The sequence below is a fragment of the Homo sapiens genome, chromosome 4 (genome assembly GCF_000001405.40).
Source record: "Homo sapiens chromosome 4, GRCh38.p14 Primary Assembly".
Taxonomy (NCBI): domain Eukaryota; kingdom Metazoa; phylum Chordata; class Mammalia; order Primates; family Hominidae; genus Homo; species Homo sapiens.
In genome coordinates this window covers 169,106,808-169,123,686 of record NC_000004.12, presented here as the reverse complement: position 1 = coordinate 169,123,686, position 16,879 = coordinate 169,106,808, and the positions used below count along the sequence as shown (strand labels likewise).

Genomic DNA, 16,879 nt, shown 5'->3' with positions numbered 1-16,879 from the left:
ATCTCCTGACCTCGTGATCCGCCCGCCTCAGCCTCCCAAAGTGCTGGGATTACAGGCGTGAGCCACTGCGCCTGCGAGCTATAACAAATCTTAATGGTGCCATATTTTGAATTGAGAATGTGAGCCACATTTTCCTGACGTTCCAACTTTTTGAGCTAACCTCTGCCTTCTCCTGGTTTGCACTTTGTAAGTGGCTCTGCACCTCATTTGTTTCTGCACTAAATGTTCTGCAACCACTTTAGCTACAGTGTGGGAAAAATCTTTATTGAAAGTCGCTTTAGCAAAAAATTAAACATAATGCATCGAATAGTTACAGCGTGCGTCTAGAAATTTGAAATTTTTTTCCACTCAGTTCGTTATGTTTCTGGAACTATGTATGTCTATATTAACAGCCAGATGTATTATAGTGAATGGTGATGAAATTCAAATTTTTATTCCAAAAAACAGAAATAAGATGACTGGTATAAGCTCTGTTTAGAAATCATTGGATCTTTATTTTGTTAATATGCTGACATATAGAAGCCATTTACACTTAACTAGGTAAATTCTTTAGTCTTCTTATTTCTCCTTTGACTTAGTTTTTACATCTAGTTGTTCAAAGATCTGGAGAGGACGAGGTAGCGGTTCAGGCAGTCTTTGTGTGCCTGTTTTCCCAAGAGTTTCAGTATACAGACCCTAAAGAATTATCTGGGTTTATAGATCAGAAGGTAACAATTGCTCCATTGATTTTCAAAAGGCATGGAATCCTGTAGGCAGAACCCCATTAGGCTGTGCCCATAAAGGAACCAGCAGCTTTTCACTGGTGTACTTGTTAAAGATTACCAGCCTCGATAGTACCAAATTTCAAAAGCTGGCAAAGTTAAGAAAAGAATAAGCAAAAGTAGCAACAATGGTCCAGTGACTGTGGCTTACTATTGTTTGGGCTTTTTGTAGACCAGGCATCAAAGGAAATTTTCTTCTGAAGGAATGATTTGAGATATAGTACAGCTACATTGTGTGTTGTGTTTAAGTTTCAGATTACAGAAACAATCACAAATTAATTCCTAGCAAGCAGCATGACATGGCTACCCGCCTCGAAAGGCATTTGGATCCTTGTCCAAGTCCATACTTTAAAATGCTATTAATCTTAAGATTACATGCAATTGTTTCATTTTTTTTCTTTCCCTCCTCCCAAGGGTGATTACTTACCTGCTTGCTGAAAAGGTTGCTTTGGCTTTAATATTTTAAAGGAGAACAAGAGATGAATTTGTAGAAGCAGGCTTTCATATCAGTTAGCCTGCTGATTCTGCCCTGTGTGGATTCCATTAAAGTCTTGTTCTATGGATTTATAATTCTTTTTCTCTCCCACCTTCCATAGGAAGATGTAAATCAGTATTTTGTTCCCTTTTTTCCCTTTCTCTTTATGTTTTTCCTATACTAGACTTTGAATCCTCCTCTTCCACCACCCCCTCTCCTGGCTGCCACTGTCCTTGCCTCCACACCACCAGGCGCCACCGCCGCTGCTGCTGCTGCTGGAATGGGACCGAGGCCCATGGCAGGATCCACTGACCAGATTGCACATTTACGGCCGCAGACTCGCCCCAGTGTGTAAGTGAGCGTGTCGTCTGTTACTGCTTATGTGTTCATTTAAACGAAGTCCAAACCTCAGAGGTCAAGAAACACCTTTCTGACATGAGCTGATGACAGCGTTATGGCTCACCAAGCGGTCTGTGTCCTGCAAACTTCTACCTGGTCATGCATGTAACTAGGGAACTGCTGAAAGAAAATCAGTCTGATACATGAGCTTGCCAGAATATTATATGGGTATGAAACTGCCTCTTTTGTACAACTCCTGTTTGAACTTTTTATCTTTATTTTCATTTCTTGCATAAGAATACTAGTGACAGAAAGGTATTCTTCACAAATCATATCTAGGTCTAGTTGCAGTGTGAATGTAAAAAGCTTAAGTCCTCAGCAATGAGTATCCAGAAAAGTTTATCCTGTTGAGAGTTTATTTATGGCAGAATACAGCCAGGTCTTCGTGGATCCTGCATTGTGTAATTTTATACACCAACTGTTTAGAGCACTGGTAAGAACTATAGGTTAATGTTGCCTGCCTGGTTACCATGTGTTCGTGGGCACAGTCACCTTGCATCTTGGGGTTGTCTTGTACGTTTTGTGATCTGGACTTTGTTCTCCCTTGATTTTTTCAAATTCAGTCTTTTTCCCTAGAACTGAGCATAAAAAGCAGGTGTAGCTCAAGCCTCTAGGTTCAGCTTGTGTGTAGAAGCCAGCGTGTTGTGCTTCCCAGTGGGATTTCATACCATATGTTCTCATTTGGGGCTACTTCTCAAGCCTAACAAGTGCCATTTGAAGAACTCAGTTTTCCCAGTGGGTACATAATCTCTGGTAGCAAGTTAGGCACTCTTGGAAACTGCATTAATTCTTTCACACTATGCAAATACTATTTGGTGGGATAGTAACTTCCATACTGGGAGGAACAGGTTCTTAATCAGGAGGGCCTCTGCCTACTTTTAAAATGTAGACAGCAAAACCTCTTTCAATGGAGAATTGTCAGTGCTACTTATAGATTAAAGGATTATACTTTCAGTTTACATTTGTACAAAATGTTCAACACTTTGTACCAAGGAAGAATTTTGAGCATCTTGGGATTTGTCTGTTACTCAACCTGAAATCAAATATTATTTTCTATTCTAGGTATGTTGCTATATATCCATACACTCCTCGGAAAGAGGATGAACTAGAGCTGAGAAAAGGGGAGATGTTTTTAGTGTTTGAGCGCTGCCAGGATGGCTGGTTCAAAGGGACATCCATGCATACCAGCAAGATAGGGGTTTTCCCTGGCAATTATGTGGCACCAGTCACAAGGTATGGTTTTGAATACATTGTTTACTATGTTCTAAACAGAGAAGCTTTGTTCTTTTCCATGGTTTTCAGCCTATCCAGATTCCTTTCACATTATAATTGCCTGTTACATAGCCAAGGTTTTAAAAATCCATGTCTACATCTGCTAAAATCCCTTCTAACTCTAAAATTTTTAGCTTATTTTCACATGGATATATGTGAAATTATAGGTTTCTACCAGTAAATGTACTGGGTTTTAAGTTATTTGCTTTAATGGGAGAAGGTTCAACAACACCATTTTCAGTATTTTTCTACTAGAAAAGGCATAGTGTTGATACAAAGAAAAGCTATATTATTAATACTTATGTGTTTATATAATGCGTACTATATGCCAGGCAGGCAGATTTATAAATGCATTACACTGATTAACCTTACTTCTTAGTTGCTGTTACATTGAGGCACAGAGATATCATACAGCTTGTCTGAGATCACATAGTGAAGAAGTGCTCAAACTCAAACCCTGGTGATCTAGATTTATATTTATTTCATTAACTTGGTAATTACCTCTGAATTCTGACAATGAATTCTATAATATAGTCAGAAATAAAAATTTTAAGTATAGCATAGATCCTTCTCAACTGAGGGCAGTTTTGCTCCCCAGGGAACATTTGACAATATCCAGAAATATTTTTGATTGTCACGACTAGAGGTTAGGGGTGCTACTGGCTTTAGTGGATAGAGGCTAAGAGTGAAACATCCTATGCATAGGACAGCCTCCCACAAAAAATAATCATAATCTGGCCTAAAATGTCACTGAGGTTGAGAAACCCTGTTATAGAGTGACAGGAGCTTTAGATATGCAAAATTTTATATATTTTATGTAAAGATAGTTCAGCTTTTGGTCACTGAGGAAAGAAGCCTTGGAAACAGTTAAATGACCTGTAATGAAATCAACACTGAGGGAGCCCTAGTTTTTGACCACCGGCCGTTTAATATACAGTCCAGGTCTAACTGCATTAAATCTTTCCTCAAACCGCCTGATTTTAAACAAATAGCTTAATGAACTGACATGTTTGTCAGCTGTTGGCCTTGATTTATAGGTTGGCCAGCAGCCTAATCAAATGAAAATCACTGTTGTTGCAGATGGTGACAGAATGTTAACTTTAATTTGACTTGCAAATTTTTAATCAATATAAACATTCTTTTCTATGTATGTTAAAATCTACATTCAGAATCCATCCCATCCAGAAAATGACAGATAGAACCTCCCTGGTGCAAAATAATGATAATAATGGATAAGAGAAATGCAACAAAGAACAAAAAAATAAAGTTAATGAAGGAAAACATTTTTATAAAAATTTTTTTGTCAAACATCTTTATCAAAAACCAATTATTAGAAGTCTCTCTGCTTGTATAGCCGGGTGCAGTGGCTCACGCCTGTAATCCCAGCACTTCAGGAGGCCAAGGTGGGCAGATCACTTGAGGTCAGGAGTTGATCACTTGAGGCCTGACCAACATGGTGAAACCCCATCTCTACTAAAAAAAAAAAAAAAAAAAAAAAAAATACAAAAATTAGCCAGGCATGGTGGCACGTGCCTGTAGACCCAGCTACTTTGGAGGTTGAGGCAGGATAATCACTTGAACCTGGGAGGCGGAGGCTGCAGTGAGCCGAGATCATGCCACTGCACTCCAGCCTGGGCGGCAGAGCAAGACTCCATCCTAAGGAAAAAAAAAATCTATCTGTTTGTTTAACTCTAGAGGAATATGTGCTTACAGTAAATTCTGTCATTCATGGTAAATAATAAGGATGTTCAAGCTAATGAAGTGTTTTCTTAGTAGAAAGTTACTATATACAGAATTGTTATCATTTAAATGAATTTGGAATATGGAAAAAAACACATTACACAAAACTATACTGAACTTAATTACATTCAGTGAGTAAATAGATGTTTAGAGTTGGCTGTAACCCTGAGCATGTGCAAATACAGGATGAATACAGGAGAGTTATTTCACACTGGCCCTGCTTTCAAGGAACTTACCAAGTCAGCAGTATTTGATAAAGAATTTATTTAAAAAATAATACACCAGCTAGGCGCGTTGGCTCAAACCTGTAATCCCAGCACTTTGGGAGGCTGAGGCGGGTGGATCACCTGAGGTCAGGAGTTCGAGACCAGCCTGGCCAACATGGTGAAACCCCACCTCTACTAAAAATACAAAAAAGTAGCCGGGCATGGTGGCGCGTGCCTGTACTCCCAGCTACTCGGGAGGCTTAGACAGGAGAATCACTTGAACCTGAGAGGCAGAGGGGTGAGCTGAGATCGCACCACTCCACTCCAGCCTGGGCAACAGTGAGACTCTGTCTCAAAAAAAATACTACTACTACTAATAATAATATACCACATTTTGTAATCAAGGGCCAAAGCATAAACAATTGTGGAGTTTAGAAACAGAATGAAAGAAGAAATCCACATGAAACAATAGAATCATAAGATCTTAAACCTGAATCTGAGGCAAGGCTTCTTGAACTGACAGTGTTCATGCTGGATCTTGAAACATAAATGAGATTACAATATGTCAAGAGAAGACGGAGAGGACTTTCCACTAGTGCGTGTATGTGTGTGCATGCATGTACATGGGCACATGTGTGATGTGGAGCTGGAGGCAAGTAGGAAGCCAGGAAACAGGAGCAAAGATATGGAAATGGGGATATTGTCAGGGAATGATCCTAGCTTGTTCTGTAGATGAAGGGGGAGAATCCAGGGCCTTGAAAGTCAGTGGAGATATTTGGTCTTGTTATGGAAAGCTGAATGCAATAACTGTATATTCTTGAGCAGAGTATGACGTGTGGTTTCTGGTGACTCAGAATATATTTCAAGACCTTTCTCTGTCTCAGCCATCATTACGTTGAATTTTCTATTCTTAAACTTTATAAAAATAATTCCATTCATTTTTTAAAATGTTCTATGTTTAAAGCTCTGAGTCATTTTTCTTGCATTTAATTGTTCTTTCTGTCATTTTGCTGATGGACTGGGCTTTCCATCTATGTTTGTGTCTTGGCAGGGCGGTGACAAATGCTTCCCAAGCTAAAGTCCCTATGTCTACAGCTGGCCAGACAAGTCGGGGAGTGACCATGGTCAGTCCTTCCACGGCAGGAGGGCCTGCCCAGAAGCTCCAGGGAAATGGCGTGGCTGGGAGTCCCAGTGTTGTCCCCGCAGCTGTGGTATCAGCAGCTCACATCCAGACAAGTCCTCAGGCTAAGGTCTTGTTGCACATGACGGGGCAAATGACAGTCAACCAGGCCCGCAATGCTGTGAGGACAGGTAAGGAGGAACCCAGGCCAGAACATATCAGGATAAAGGGCTTACCTGCCTAATAGTAGATCTTTTATGACAGATGTTGAGAAATGTAGATGTAATTTTAATAATGAACAACATTAGGCAAAGTCTACTCAGTGGCACCTTGTATCTGCTTATTTGGGCTAAGCGTGCCCTGCGTATTACTTCAAGCCTGATGGATAGATCTAAAGTCTGAAAGAAATTAGGCTGATCCTAAGAATGTCAATAGTACTTGAAATTTTGACTTCTATAGTTGAGATCATATGATCTCAAATCTCACTACTACCATCCATGTGACATTGCGTGATACTCTACTAACGGGTGTGCTGATCATTTCTGATTAACTTAAGCACAAGTCTACCTTGGACCCTATGGGATCTTAAACAGCTTTCTTAGTTCTGTAGCACTGAAAACCTTCCCAAGAGTCTTGGGTAACTAATGGGATGAGGGGTAAACTAAAGGCTTGTGAACTCTATCAGAAAAACAGAAAAAAGGAAAATGATTCATAAGAAAAGGGAATGAATAATAGGAAAAGGACTAGAGGGAGACATCGCTTGACACTGTAGAATACCATCAAGAACTGGCTCAGTGTCTCTAACACTGTGGAGAGGCTGTCTCCTAAGTAAAGGGACTTGGGTCAAAACTGAGCTTCCAGGCACTCAGTAGACTCAAGGGCTGACCTGGAAGGACAATAGATAGTGTCTGGGGATCCAGCTAAGATTAAGTGCTTTTAGGCCACCGTCCATCCCATCTTTATTGTAATAAATACAATAGCAGCCTTTCATCATGGTCTGATGCAGTGAAATGACTCATGTTTTGGTGAGCAGCATCTATTAGATAGTTGAATTTTGCTGTGTTCCCTCTTCCCATCTACTAGTTGCAGCGCACAACCAGGAACGCCCCACGGCAGCAGTGACACCCATCCAGGTACAGAATGCCGCCGGCCTCAGCCCTGCATCTGTGGGCCTGTCCCATCACTCGCTGGCCTCCCCACAACCTGCGCCTCTGATGCCAGGCTCAGCCACGCACACTGCTGCCATCAGTATCAGTCGAGCCAGTGCCCCTCTGGCCTGTGCAGCAGCTGCTCCACTGACTTCCCCAAGCATCACCAGTGCTTCTCTGGAGGCTGAGCCCAGTGGCCGGATAGTGACCGTTCTCCCTGGACTCCCCACATCTCCTGACAGTGCTTCATCAGCTTGTGGGAACAGTTCAGCAACCAAACCAGACAAGGATAGCAAAGTAAGACCATACTTACTTACTGTTTCTCTGCTTTACTTACTTCCCTGTTTTTCTTCTTATGTTGTGTCTGTCATTTTTAGCTAATGAGAGGACTCACTGTTCAACAAACCCTCAGGTGCTCCCTACGTGTGAGTCACTATGCCAGGTGCTAGGAGTAGAGTGGGGAAGAAACGCAGGCACCACCCCATCCTCTTATCTAGAGCTCATGTTTCTCTGTGTTTAAACGCCCACTACTTGCCAGACTCAGTGCTGCATGTTAGAGGGACCACAGTGAATGAGACTTAGTCACTCCTCCTTGTGCAGCTTACAGTCTCGTGGAGGAATTTCCTTTTCCCTTTAGTTACTCATTCTTTCATCATTTTGCTGTCCTCAAGTCTTCCTGCTCAGTGAGTCTTGCTTGATAAGAGTTCTGTTAAAAATATATATGTGTGAGGGGGATGAAACTGTTGATCAAAAGTGTTACTTATGGATTTATTTTATCTACAACAGTGGTCCCCAACCTTCTGGGCACCTGGGCACCATGGACCAGTTTCGTTGAAGACAGATTTTCCATGGACCCAGGGGTGGTGGCGGGGAAATGGTTTCAGAATGATTCAAGCTCATTACATTAACTGTGCACTTTATTTCTATTATTATTACAGTGTACTATATAATGAAATCATTATAGAACTCACCATAATGTAGAATTAGTGGGAGCCCTGAGTTTGTTTTCTTGCAACTAGATGGTCCCACCTGGGCATGATGGCAGACAGTGACAGATCCTCAGGCATTAGATTCTCATAAGGAGTGTGCAACCTACATCCCTCGCATGTGCAGTTCACAATAGGGTTCATGCTCCTATGAGAATCTAATGCCCCTGCTGATCTGACAGGAGGCGGAGCTCAGGCAGTAATGCAAGTGATGGGGAGCGGCTGTAAATACAGATGAAGCCTCACTCACTCACCTGCAGCTCACCTCCTGCTGTGCGGCCTGGTTCCTCACAGGCCACAGGCTAGTACTGGTCCATGGCCCAGTACATCTGACCTTAAGCAGCATGGTTCCTTGAGAGGTAAGACTTGAAATATAAGGAAACATTATTTTCTAAATCCATAGTTTTTGGGGTTTTTTTTAATGTCTCATTTGGGGCTGAATTTTAAAGAAAATATAAATGGAAAGTTATATTGGAAAGAATAACCGATGGTTGGGTTTAGAGACAGGTGATTGGAGGCAAGAGAAATTGAGAGTTGTTAAATGTAAAAAGAAAAAGAAGAGATGGTAACGGATCTGGATAATTTTATTGTCATTATTACTTTTTCCTCAATATTTTACACATTTCCCCTGAAGTTCTATACCAGTTCTGGGAAGTTTGAGGGCGATCATAGACTTTTAGCCACCTGGTTAAGTGGTAATGTATGTCGTTCTATTTAAATGGTTAAGGGAGCCTGTAAACAGCAGTTTATAAGGAAATAAACTTTATGGCCTACTAAAAAGTTAATATTTAATTGTTCGGTTAACATGAGAGTTTTTGAAAAAGATTGATATTTGTTCAGTGTTTATAATTAACTACATTAAACTTGCACTCAAGCCAACATGTTCAACTTTGTTAATATATTTATAAATAATTATTTTTATGGTTTAGATTTTAAGGCTTGATGACAATGTGTCTCAGAGCCCTTGCCACTGATAAGAACAGGGACTCTTCAGCTGGGCCCTTCCAATGTAGAATTCACTAAATCTCTAAGGCTTGAAAGGTACTTGTGATAGACAGAATAGTGACTCCCCAAGGATGTCCACCTCCTGATCCCTGGAACTTTTAAAGATGTTTCATTACATGGCCAAAAGGACCTTGCAGGTTTTATTAAATTAATAGCCTTTTGACAAGGTGGTTAGCCTGAATTATCCAGGTGGGCCCAGTGTAAACTCAAGGATGTTCTTAAAAGGGAGGCAGGAAGCTTAGGGCCAGAGAAGGAGACGTGATGGTGAAGCAGAGGTAGGAATGATAGGGAAATGAGACCACAGGTCAAGGAATACAGGAAGCCTCTAGAATCTGGAAAAGACAAGGGAACAGATTCTTCCCCAGTGGCCTCCAGAAGGAACCAGCCCTGCCACACCTTGATTTTAGGACCCGATTTTTACCACAAAGTTTGAGTTAACCTGTTACGGCACCATCTAGTACAGGTCCTTACTGGTCATCCTGTGGAGCACCCATCCCTGACAAATGACCATGGCTTCTGCCTAGGTGCGTGCCCCATTGACCAAGCAGTGCCCTAGCCCAAGACTGCCCTGTGCCATCTTCAGACAGCTGTAACTCAACTCAACCTTCCAACCGTTGTTCTTTATTTTGAGGGCCCACATAGAAAATGCAGATCTCCTTTCTACATGGTGCCCTGAGGTATTTGCAGGTGTGTCCCCTTGTGTCTTTTCTCTAATGCTATACCCTTGAAGTTTTCTTTTCCTATTCCTCATATCACAGATTTCAAATTTTCCCTTATTAAATCTCCTACCTCATTTAGTGTTCCAAGTCCACTAAAGAGACTTCTGGTTGATATAAATTTAGTAATTCCATGATTGTTGTCACTTAATCATGAATCTTCATGACTAGAGTGTCTTTAGTATACATTTCTCCATCACATCTACAAGGATGTCCTGGGAGAACTCACCAGATGCCACATTGAGATTCACCTGCCTTTTACATCATCCTCCCATCCACAGAGTTCTCCCCATTGCTCCATCATTTCTGCTGTGACTTATTGTTAGCGAGTGTCTCCTGGAAGAGTTTTATTTCCCTTTCTAAATGTTCATAAATCTTTTGTTTAATACTGTTTTAGAATTTCCCAGATGGTCTGCAAAGTGCTTTGGTGTCATGTGTTTGAAAATTGGGGCCGGGCGCGGTGGCTTACACCTGTAATCCCAGCACTTTGGGAGGCCAAAGCTGGTGTATCACCTGAGGTCAGGAGTTGAGACCAGCCTGGCCAACATAGTGAAACCCTGTCTCTACTAAAAATACAAAAATTAGCTGGGTGTGGTGGCACATGCCTGTAATCCCAGCTACTCAGGAGGCTGAAGCTGGAGAATCACTTGAACCAGGGAGTCGGAGGTTGCAGTGAGCCGAGATCACACCACTGCACTCCAGCCTGGGCAACAGAGTGAGACTCTGTCTCAGGGGGGAAAAAAAAAAGAAAACTGGGACTTGCACATGCCTTTCCTTGCCTGTTCAGTTGACCCTCATCCCAGATTCACCAGATTATCAAAGGTTATTGGTTGCATTTCTTCTGCTATTTTTCTCTGTACCCTGGAGTGAATTCAGCCTGTTAAGAGTAATCATTTGATCTCTAAATCCCAACTCTTCACTCATTTCCCTCTCGTCAAAGTTTGTTCTTCCCCTCCAGTCTGAAGATTATCCTTCCCTTTCTTCTTGCCATCCAAGAACCACCATCCTCCACAGCGGGTCTGTGTCTTTCTTGTTCTTCTTGTTTCAAACATAACTTTAAAAGAGCTCTTACAAAATTTTTTTTTGTCTTTAGCATTTTTGCAAGTTTAAGCTCATTCTGATCTTTAAGCCTTCTTGAATTGCTATGGGCCACGTTATGTTCTTTGTTATGGGCTCTTCTCTTGATCTTTTTGTACGTGCCCTTTAAAAATTTGAGCCATTAGGCTGCTCCCTGGGAGATCACATCAGTACCTTTAGATGCCTCTATGTTTTCATCTGCAGGGATGATTTGCAATTGTATGGTTAGAATTTCATTTTTGAGAGCCTTCCTATTCCTCTTGAAGCATCTTCCCTTTTGGGTTTCAGGTCATGCATATATTTTCTTTGAACATTTAAAAATCAGTTCTTTTAAACTATGAAGTTCAAACCTGACTATCATCAGCCTCTTTTTCCATGCTTTATTCCAAGTTCTCAATATTTCTGCTTCATCAGCAGAGCATCTCCACCCGTCTGGTTTCTGCCCTCCCTCTAGTTGATCAGAATTGGATCCAAAGTTGCAGTTTGCTCAACTTTCTGTGAGATTAAACTATCAGCAAGGAAAAAGTGTATTAGAGATCCTAGTTTCAGTTGAGACTTACAGCAGATATCTAGGTATTTGATAACGCCCTCATTATTTCTATCTTTCCTCGTCATTTTGTGAGCATCATCATCCATTTACTTAAACCTACCAGCAGTCCATGGTACATCTCCCACATGATAGCGTGTCTATTGCCCCCTCCTTTTCTCTGTACCCAGCTGCTCTGCAGTGGGTTACTGCTGCTGTTCCACAGAGAAATATAATTTTGTAATGTACAGATGGGACTGTCGCAGCTTCTCTTCTAACCGGCTACTCCTTTGAACAGTATTTTATTTGGAAGTCCTGTTGTGCAAAGTCTCAGGGATCTCTAGACATTGCATTTTTGTCCTTGTGTTAAAATCTCTAGCTAACTTTGGTGTCTGCACTCCGTGGTTTGATAAACAGGCATCTGAAACTCTATGTTTCATCTCAATTCTTTCCTGTTTGAAATCCTAGACCTTTTCTACCATTGTTATTCTTCCTTCTATGAGATCCCTAATGTTTTCCACCGTCATCAGTATAACAACTTTATCTGGACATACTGCTAACTTCATATTCAGTTCAAAGTCTTCATTATTTGATCAACTAATCTCCAGGAAAATGTGTCTCCAAATCTTTGGGAGATACTTATGTATATGTATATATGTTTTATTGTGTTTTGTTGTTATAAAAAGATTAAGGCTGGGCACAGTGGCTCACACCTATAATCCCAAAAGTTTGGGAGACCAGGGTGGGCAGATCACTTGAGGCCAGAAGTACAAGATCACCCTCAGCAACTTAGCAAAACCCTATCTCTACCAAAAAAAAAAAAATTATTTTTAATTAGCTGGGCATGGTGGTATGTGCCTGTAGTCCTAGCTACTTGGGAGGCTGAGGTGGGAGGATGGCTTGAGCCCAGGAGGTCAAGGCTACAGTGAGCTATGTTAATGCCACTGCACTCCAGCCTGGGTGACAGAACTAGATCACCCAGGTTGGAGTGCAGTGGTGTGATCTCGACTCACTGCAGCCTCTACCTCCTGGGTTCAAGTAATCCTCCCACCTCAGCCTCCCAAGTAGTGGGACTACAGGCATGCACCACCATACCCAGCTAACTTTTGTGTTTTTAGTAGAGACAGGGTTTCACCATGTTGGTGGTCCTGAACTCCTGGCCTCAAGTGATCCCCCTGCCTCGGCCTCCCAAAGTGCTGGGATTATAGGCATGAGCCACTGCGCCTGGTCTGAAAAAAAAATTTTTGATTAGTACAATTGTGTAATTGTTCTTAAGTTCTCTAAGTTCTAACCCTTGCTTTAGAAAAAGAGGAGGAACCACCTCTGATGCTGGTATCGACCCAAGTGCTTCCATTTTCTACGCATAACTTCAGAATCTCTAGAGGTGCTTTGTAAGTCTCGCCTGACATTGACATTAATTCCATATGAGTCAGCAGAAGTGGGTGTTGGTCAACATGCACTCTGCCATATCCTAGATCCATTCCTAAAAGCCAGCATTCCTACAGGTGGGCCACATAAGGTCAACATTTAGTGTCTCAAATCCCCCGCCCCCAAATTCCCAATGACTCTCCCTTAAGGAGTCAACCACAGATTTTCTTCAGTGTTTTAGGACCTTTCCTATTGTTCTTTTATTCATTTATTTATTTGCTTATTTTAAGAGATAGGGTCTTATCATGTTGCCCAAGCTAGCCTTGAACTCCTGGACTCAAGCAATCCTTCCACCTCAGCCTCCCAAGCACCTGGGACTACAGGTTCACACCACGGCACCTGGCTTATTATTCTTGATTTTCTTAAGCAGAGGTCCTATCTGGTTTTTAAATATTCATTTTATTTTCTGAACATTTTTCTTGAAGTCTCTACTGATCATTTTCTTTCTTTCTTCTTTTATTTTATTATTATTTTTTTAAACGAGGTCTCACTCTGTCACCCAGGCTGGAGTGCAGTGGTGCAATCATACCTCACTGCAGCCTGAACTCCTGGTCTTAAGTGATCCTCCCAGCTGGGACTAAAGGCATGAGCCACCATACCTAGGTAATTTTTTTTTGGTAGAGATGGGGTCTTGCTATGTTGCCCAGGCTGCTCTCAACTCCTGGGCTCAAGCAATCCTGCCGCCTTGGCCTCCCAAAGTGCTGGGATTACAGGTGTAAGCCACTGTGCCCGGCCTCTAACGTTCATTTTCTTTGTTCAAATGATTTTTCTTCCTCCTCCCAGGTGGTTTTTTTTTTTTTTGTATTGTTTTGTTTTGCTACAGGGTATCCCTCTATCACCCAGGCTGGAGTGCAGTGGCATGGTCATAGCTCACTGCAACTTCAACCTCCAGGCTCAAGCAACCCTCCCTCCCACCTCAGGCTCCGGAGTAGATGGGACCACAGGCATGCACCACCACACCTGGCTAATTTTTTTATTTTTGTAGAGACAGGGTTTCCCTATGTTGCCCAGGCTGGTCTTGAACTCCTGGGCTCAAGTGATCCTCCTGCCTCAGCCTCCCAAAGTGCTAGAATTACAGGTGTGAGCCACTGTGCCCAGCCTGAATGTAGTCTTTATTAATTCATTTAGTTTTCATTTCTGCTGTTGGTTTTTGAAAAAATAATGGTGCTCATAGATGCTAAGTGTCTGAGTTTGCAAAATGATCTCTCTCAAGTGGAACATTCTTCTGCTAACATAGAAAAAATCAGAATATGCCATTGAAAGCATGGTTCCTTGGAACTAGGACAGCATCTTTTCTGTATTACCACCTCCCACCCCTTACCCCTTGTGCCCTGCCATGATTCCTAATCCTCTGCCTTCTGTTCTGTGGGTAGTCAGCATCAGTTGATGATGATAAGACATCCCTTAGAAGTCATTAAAGCAAGCTGTATTTAATGTGTTTAATCATTTTAGATGAATTAAGTCATCTTTCTTCTTAATCACTTTAGAGGCTGTTCCCTGAGTGCCGTTGAGTTATCTGATATTTTACTGAGTGCTCAGAACTGAGCTTTTAAGAAACAGCTTTAGCTGTGGCTTGCTGAGATTGTAATTTATCAATGGACTTGATGTTCTCACTGGACCTTTGGGGGTCCGTGGACTAGTGTGTGCTTTCTTACATCATGGCAAGAATAGCTGGAAGTTGCAGCTGACTGCTACCTTAGAAGTGGAAGCTACTGGACATTATTCTTTTGCATGTCATCTCTTGGCCTTCCAGACCTCAGGCTGTCTACAATAAGTACAGAGCAGCAGTGGCAGGTGTTTAGTCAGACCACTTCATTGACTATAGGCTTTATTGAAAGGCTCATTGAAAGGCTTTATTGCCTCTGGATCTGGGGAATCCAACATATCCTTTATTTCCTTAGGCCTGGCACTAGCTATATTTTTCCTTCCTTCCACTGGTTTCATCCTCTTCCAGTATTTTCTCAGCCTCTAAGCTTTAGTAGGTGTAGGGCCCTGCACTAGGCACTGGGTGAGATAGAGAGGTATATACAGCACTGCCACTGCACTTATGCAGGCAGTCCAAGTTTGTGAGGACATTCATTAGAATGCACACAGTAGCCCCACGGAAAATGTGGCATTGAATGAGTGAAGCGAAAGCGCATAAGATCAGCTGAGGACAGGCTATAAAGAGAAATGCAAAAGGATCTTCCTCTACCCGGGAGAGTTGCAGGGTGGTGGGGATCAGCTGGCTCTGCTCATCTATAGCCCAGGTCAAGCAAGTACAGAAATGACCTTAGCACCCACTCCCACCCTCTCTTCCCATTTCTAGCCCATAGGTTCACATGTCCTTGAGCAGCGTTAGGTAACTGGGGACTATGGTGCACTGTCCCTGGGATGCTTCCTCATAGTCTGATAAATGTTGCTTTTGTCTCCTTTTTTCTGCCATACTGTCTCTAATGGAACAATGTTGTTAGGGATTTAGATTCATTTTCCCAAGGAGTTTTTACTGAGCCTAAGCTATTATTCCCAAGAAAAATTCCTCAGCAGGTCCCTTATAATTTCTGTTTCCCTGTTAGTGGGCCTTAATAATTCCAATTTGCCTACAGAATTTTCTAAAGAAATAGTTCTCTATGAAGTGTTTCATTTTCAAGCAGTGCTTCCATTCAGAGAACTTAATGATGTAGTTGACATCTTGGTAAAACAATTTAAAAGGATCATGTTAAGCTTGGTCATCAGAAAGAACATTCACGCTTAAGGTTTCAGAATGAAGGAGCACTCTCTTGACATCTGATTTTCCTAGCAGACCAAAGAGAGAAAGTATCAAGAGACAAAAATTCAAGAGATGGCTTCTGTGGAATTGAAATAGTTGAAAAAACAAACAAACAAACAAACAAAAACACGCTTATTTGTATATTTGCTTGCAAAAAGAGAAATCAACTTGTTTATAAATATACTGAAGCTTTCCTTAAAATGGATGTCTAATCAAGGAGGTACTTGCAAGGGAGATGTGGTTTGACTTCTGTTTTATTGGCTTGTTACATTTAATCAAGGTGGCGACATGTGAGAAGTGGTTTAGCTCTTAACTCTGATCACTGCCTGTAAATGATAAGGCTCACGTCCATGCCTGTGGAATAGAGTGCTGTCAGGTTTACATTTAATTCTGCATAGTCAGCTCTCTTACAGTAATTAGAGATAGGATAGGCAGAAGTTCAGGAAATTAAATCCATAATCTGAAATTTCCATTTTATCCTAAAATATCTACTAATGCTTTTACCAAACCTGGGATGTGAGTTGGGTGAGTTTTATTGTCTTACATCTTTTTTATCGGTTTATCCTACTTCAACGGAATGTCCAAAACCAAACAAAAAAATATATAGCAGAAAGGGAGAAGGAGGAGAAGCAAAAGGTCAGGTTAGCACCACACAAAACTTGGTGGCCAGATTATGAATAACCAGTTATCAACAGAAATAATGTAAAAAGATCAAACCGAACATTGAAACCATAAGGCCCCATATACCTACTATGGACCCACAAAAATTAAAATTAAAAATTAAAAAGTAGTAATGAACTATAGGGCCCTTTAGATTACACCAGCAATAGTACTGTCATTCTCCAACTAAGGCTCATTATTTTTTTTTTCCAGAAAGAAAAAAAGGGTTTGTTGAAGTTGCTTTCTGGCGCCTCCACTAAACGGAAGCCCCGCGTGTCTCCTCCAGCATCGCCCACCCTAGAAGTGGAGCTGGGCAGTGCAGAGCTTCCTCTCCAGGGAGCGGTGGGGCCCGAACTGCCACCAGGAGGTGGCCATGGCAGGGCAGGCTCCTGCCCTGTGGACGGGGACGGACCGGTCACGACTGCAGTGGCAGGAGCAGCCCTGGCCCAGGATGCTTTTCATAGGAAGGCAAGTTCCCTGGACTCCGCAGTTCCCATCGCTCCACCTCCTCGCCAGGCCTGTTCCTCCCTGGGTCCTGTCTTGAATGAGTCTAGACCTGTCGTTTGTGAAAGGTAAGTTCAACTTCGTTCCAGGAAAAAACTAAAAAATGA

The 16,879-nt window shown here is 41.9% G+C and overlaps 1 protein-coding gene across 1 annotated transcript in view; it reads left to right on the top strand.

The window, feature by feature from the left end:
• SH3RF1 (SH3 domain containing ring finger 1) overlaps positions 1–16,879 on the top strand; it is a 176,698-nt gene that overhangs the window by 147,270 nt on the left and 12,549 nt on the right. The window contains exons 7-11 of the mRNA NM_020870.4: positions 1,421–1,587; positions 2,698–2,868; positions 5,905–6,164; positions 7,057–7,418; positions 16,482–16,840. Coding sequence (NP_065921.2) covers positions 1,421–1,587; positions 2,698–2,868; positions 5,905–6,164; positions 7,057–7,418; positions 16,482–16,840 — 1,319 coding nt within the window. The remainder of the gene's footprint in view (positions 1–1,420; positions 1,588–2,697; positions 2,869–5,904; positions 6,165–7,056; positions 7,419–16,481; positions 16,841–16,879) is intronic.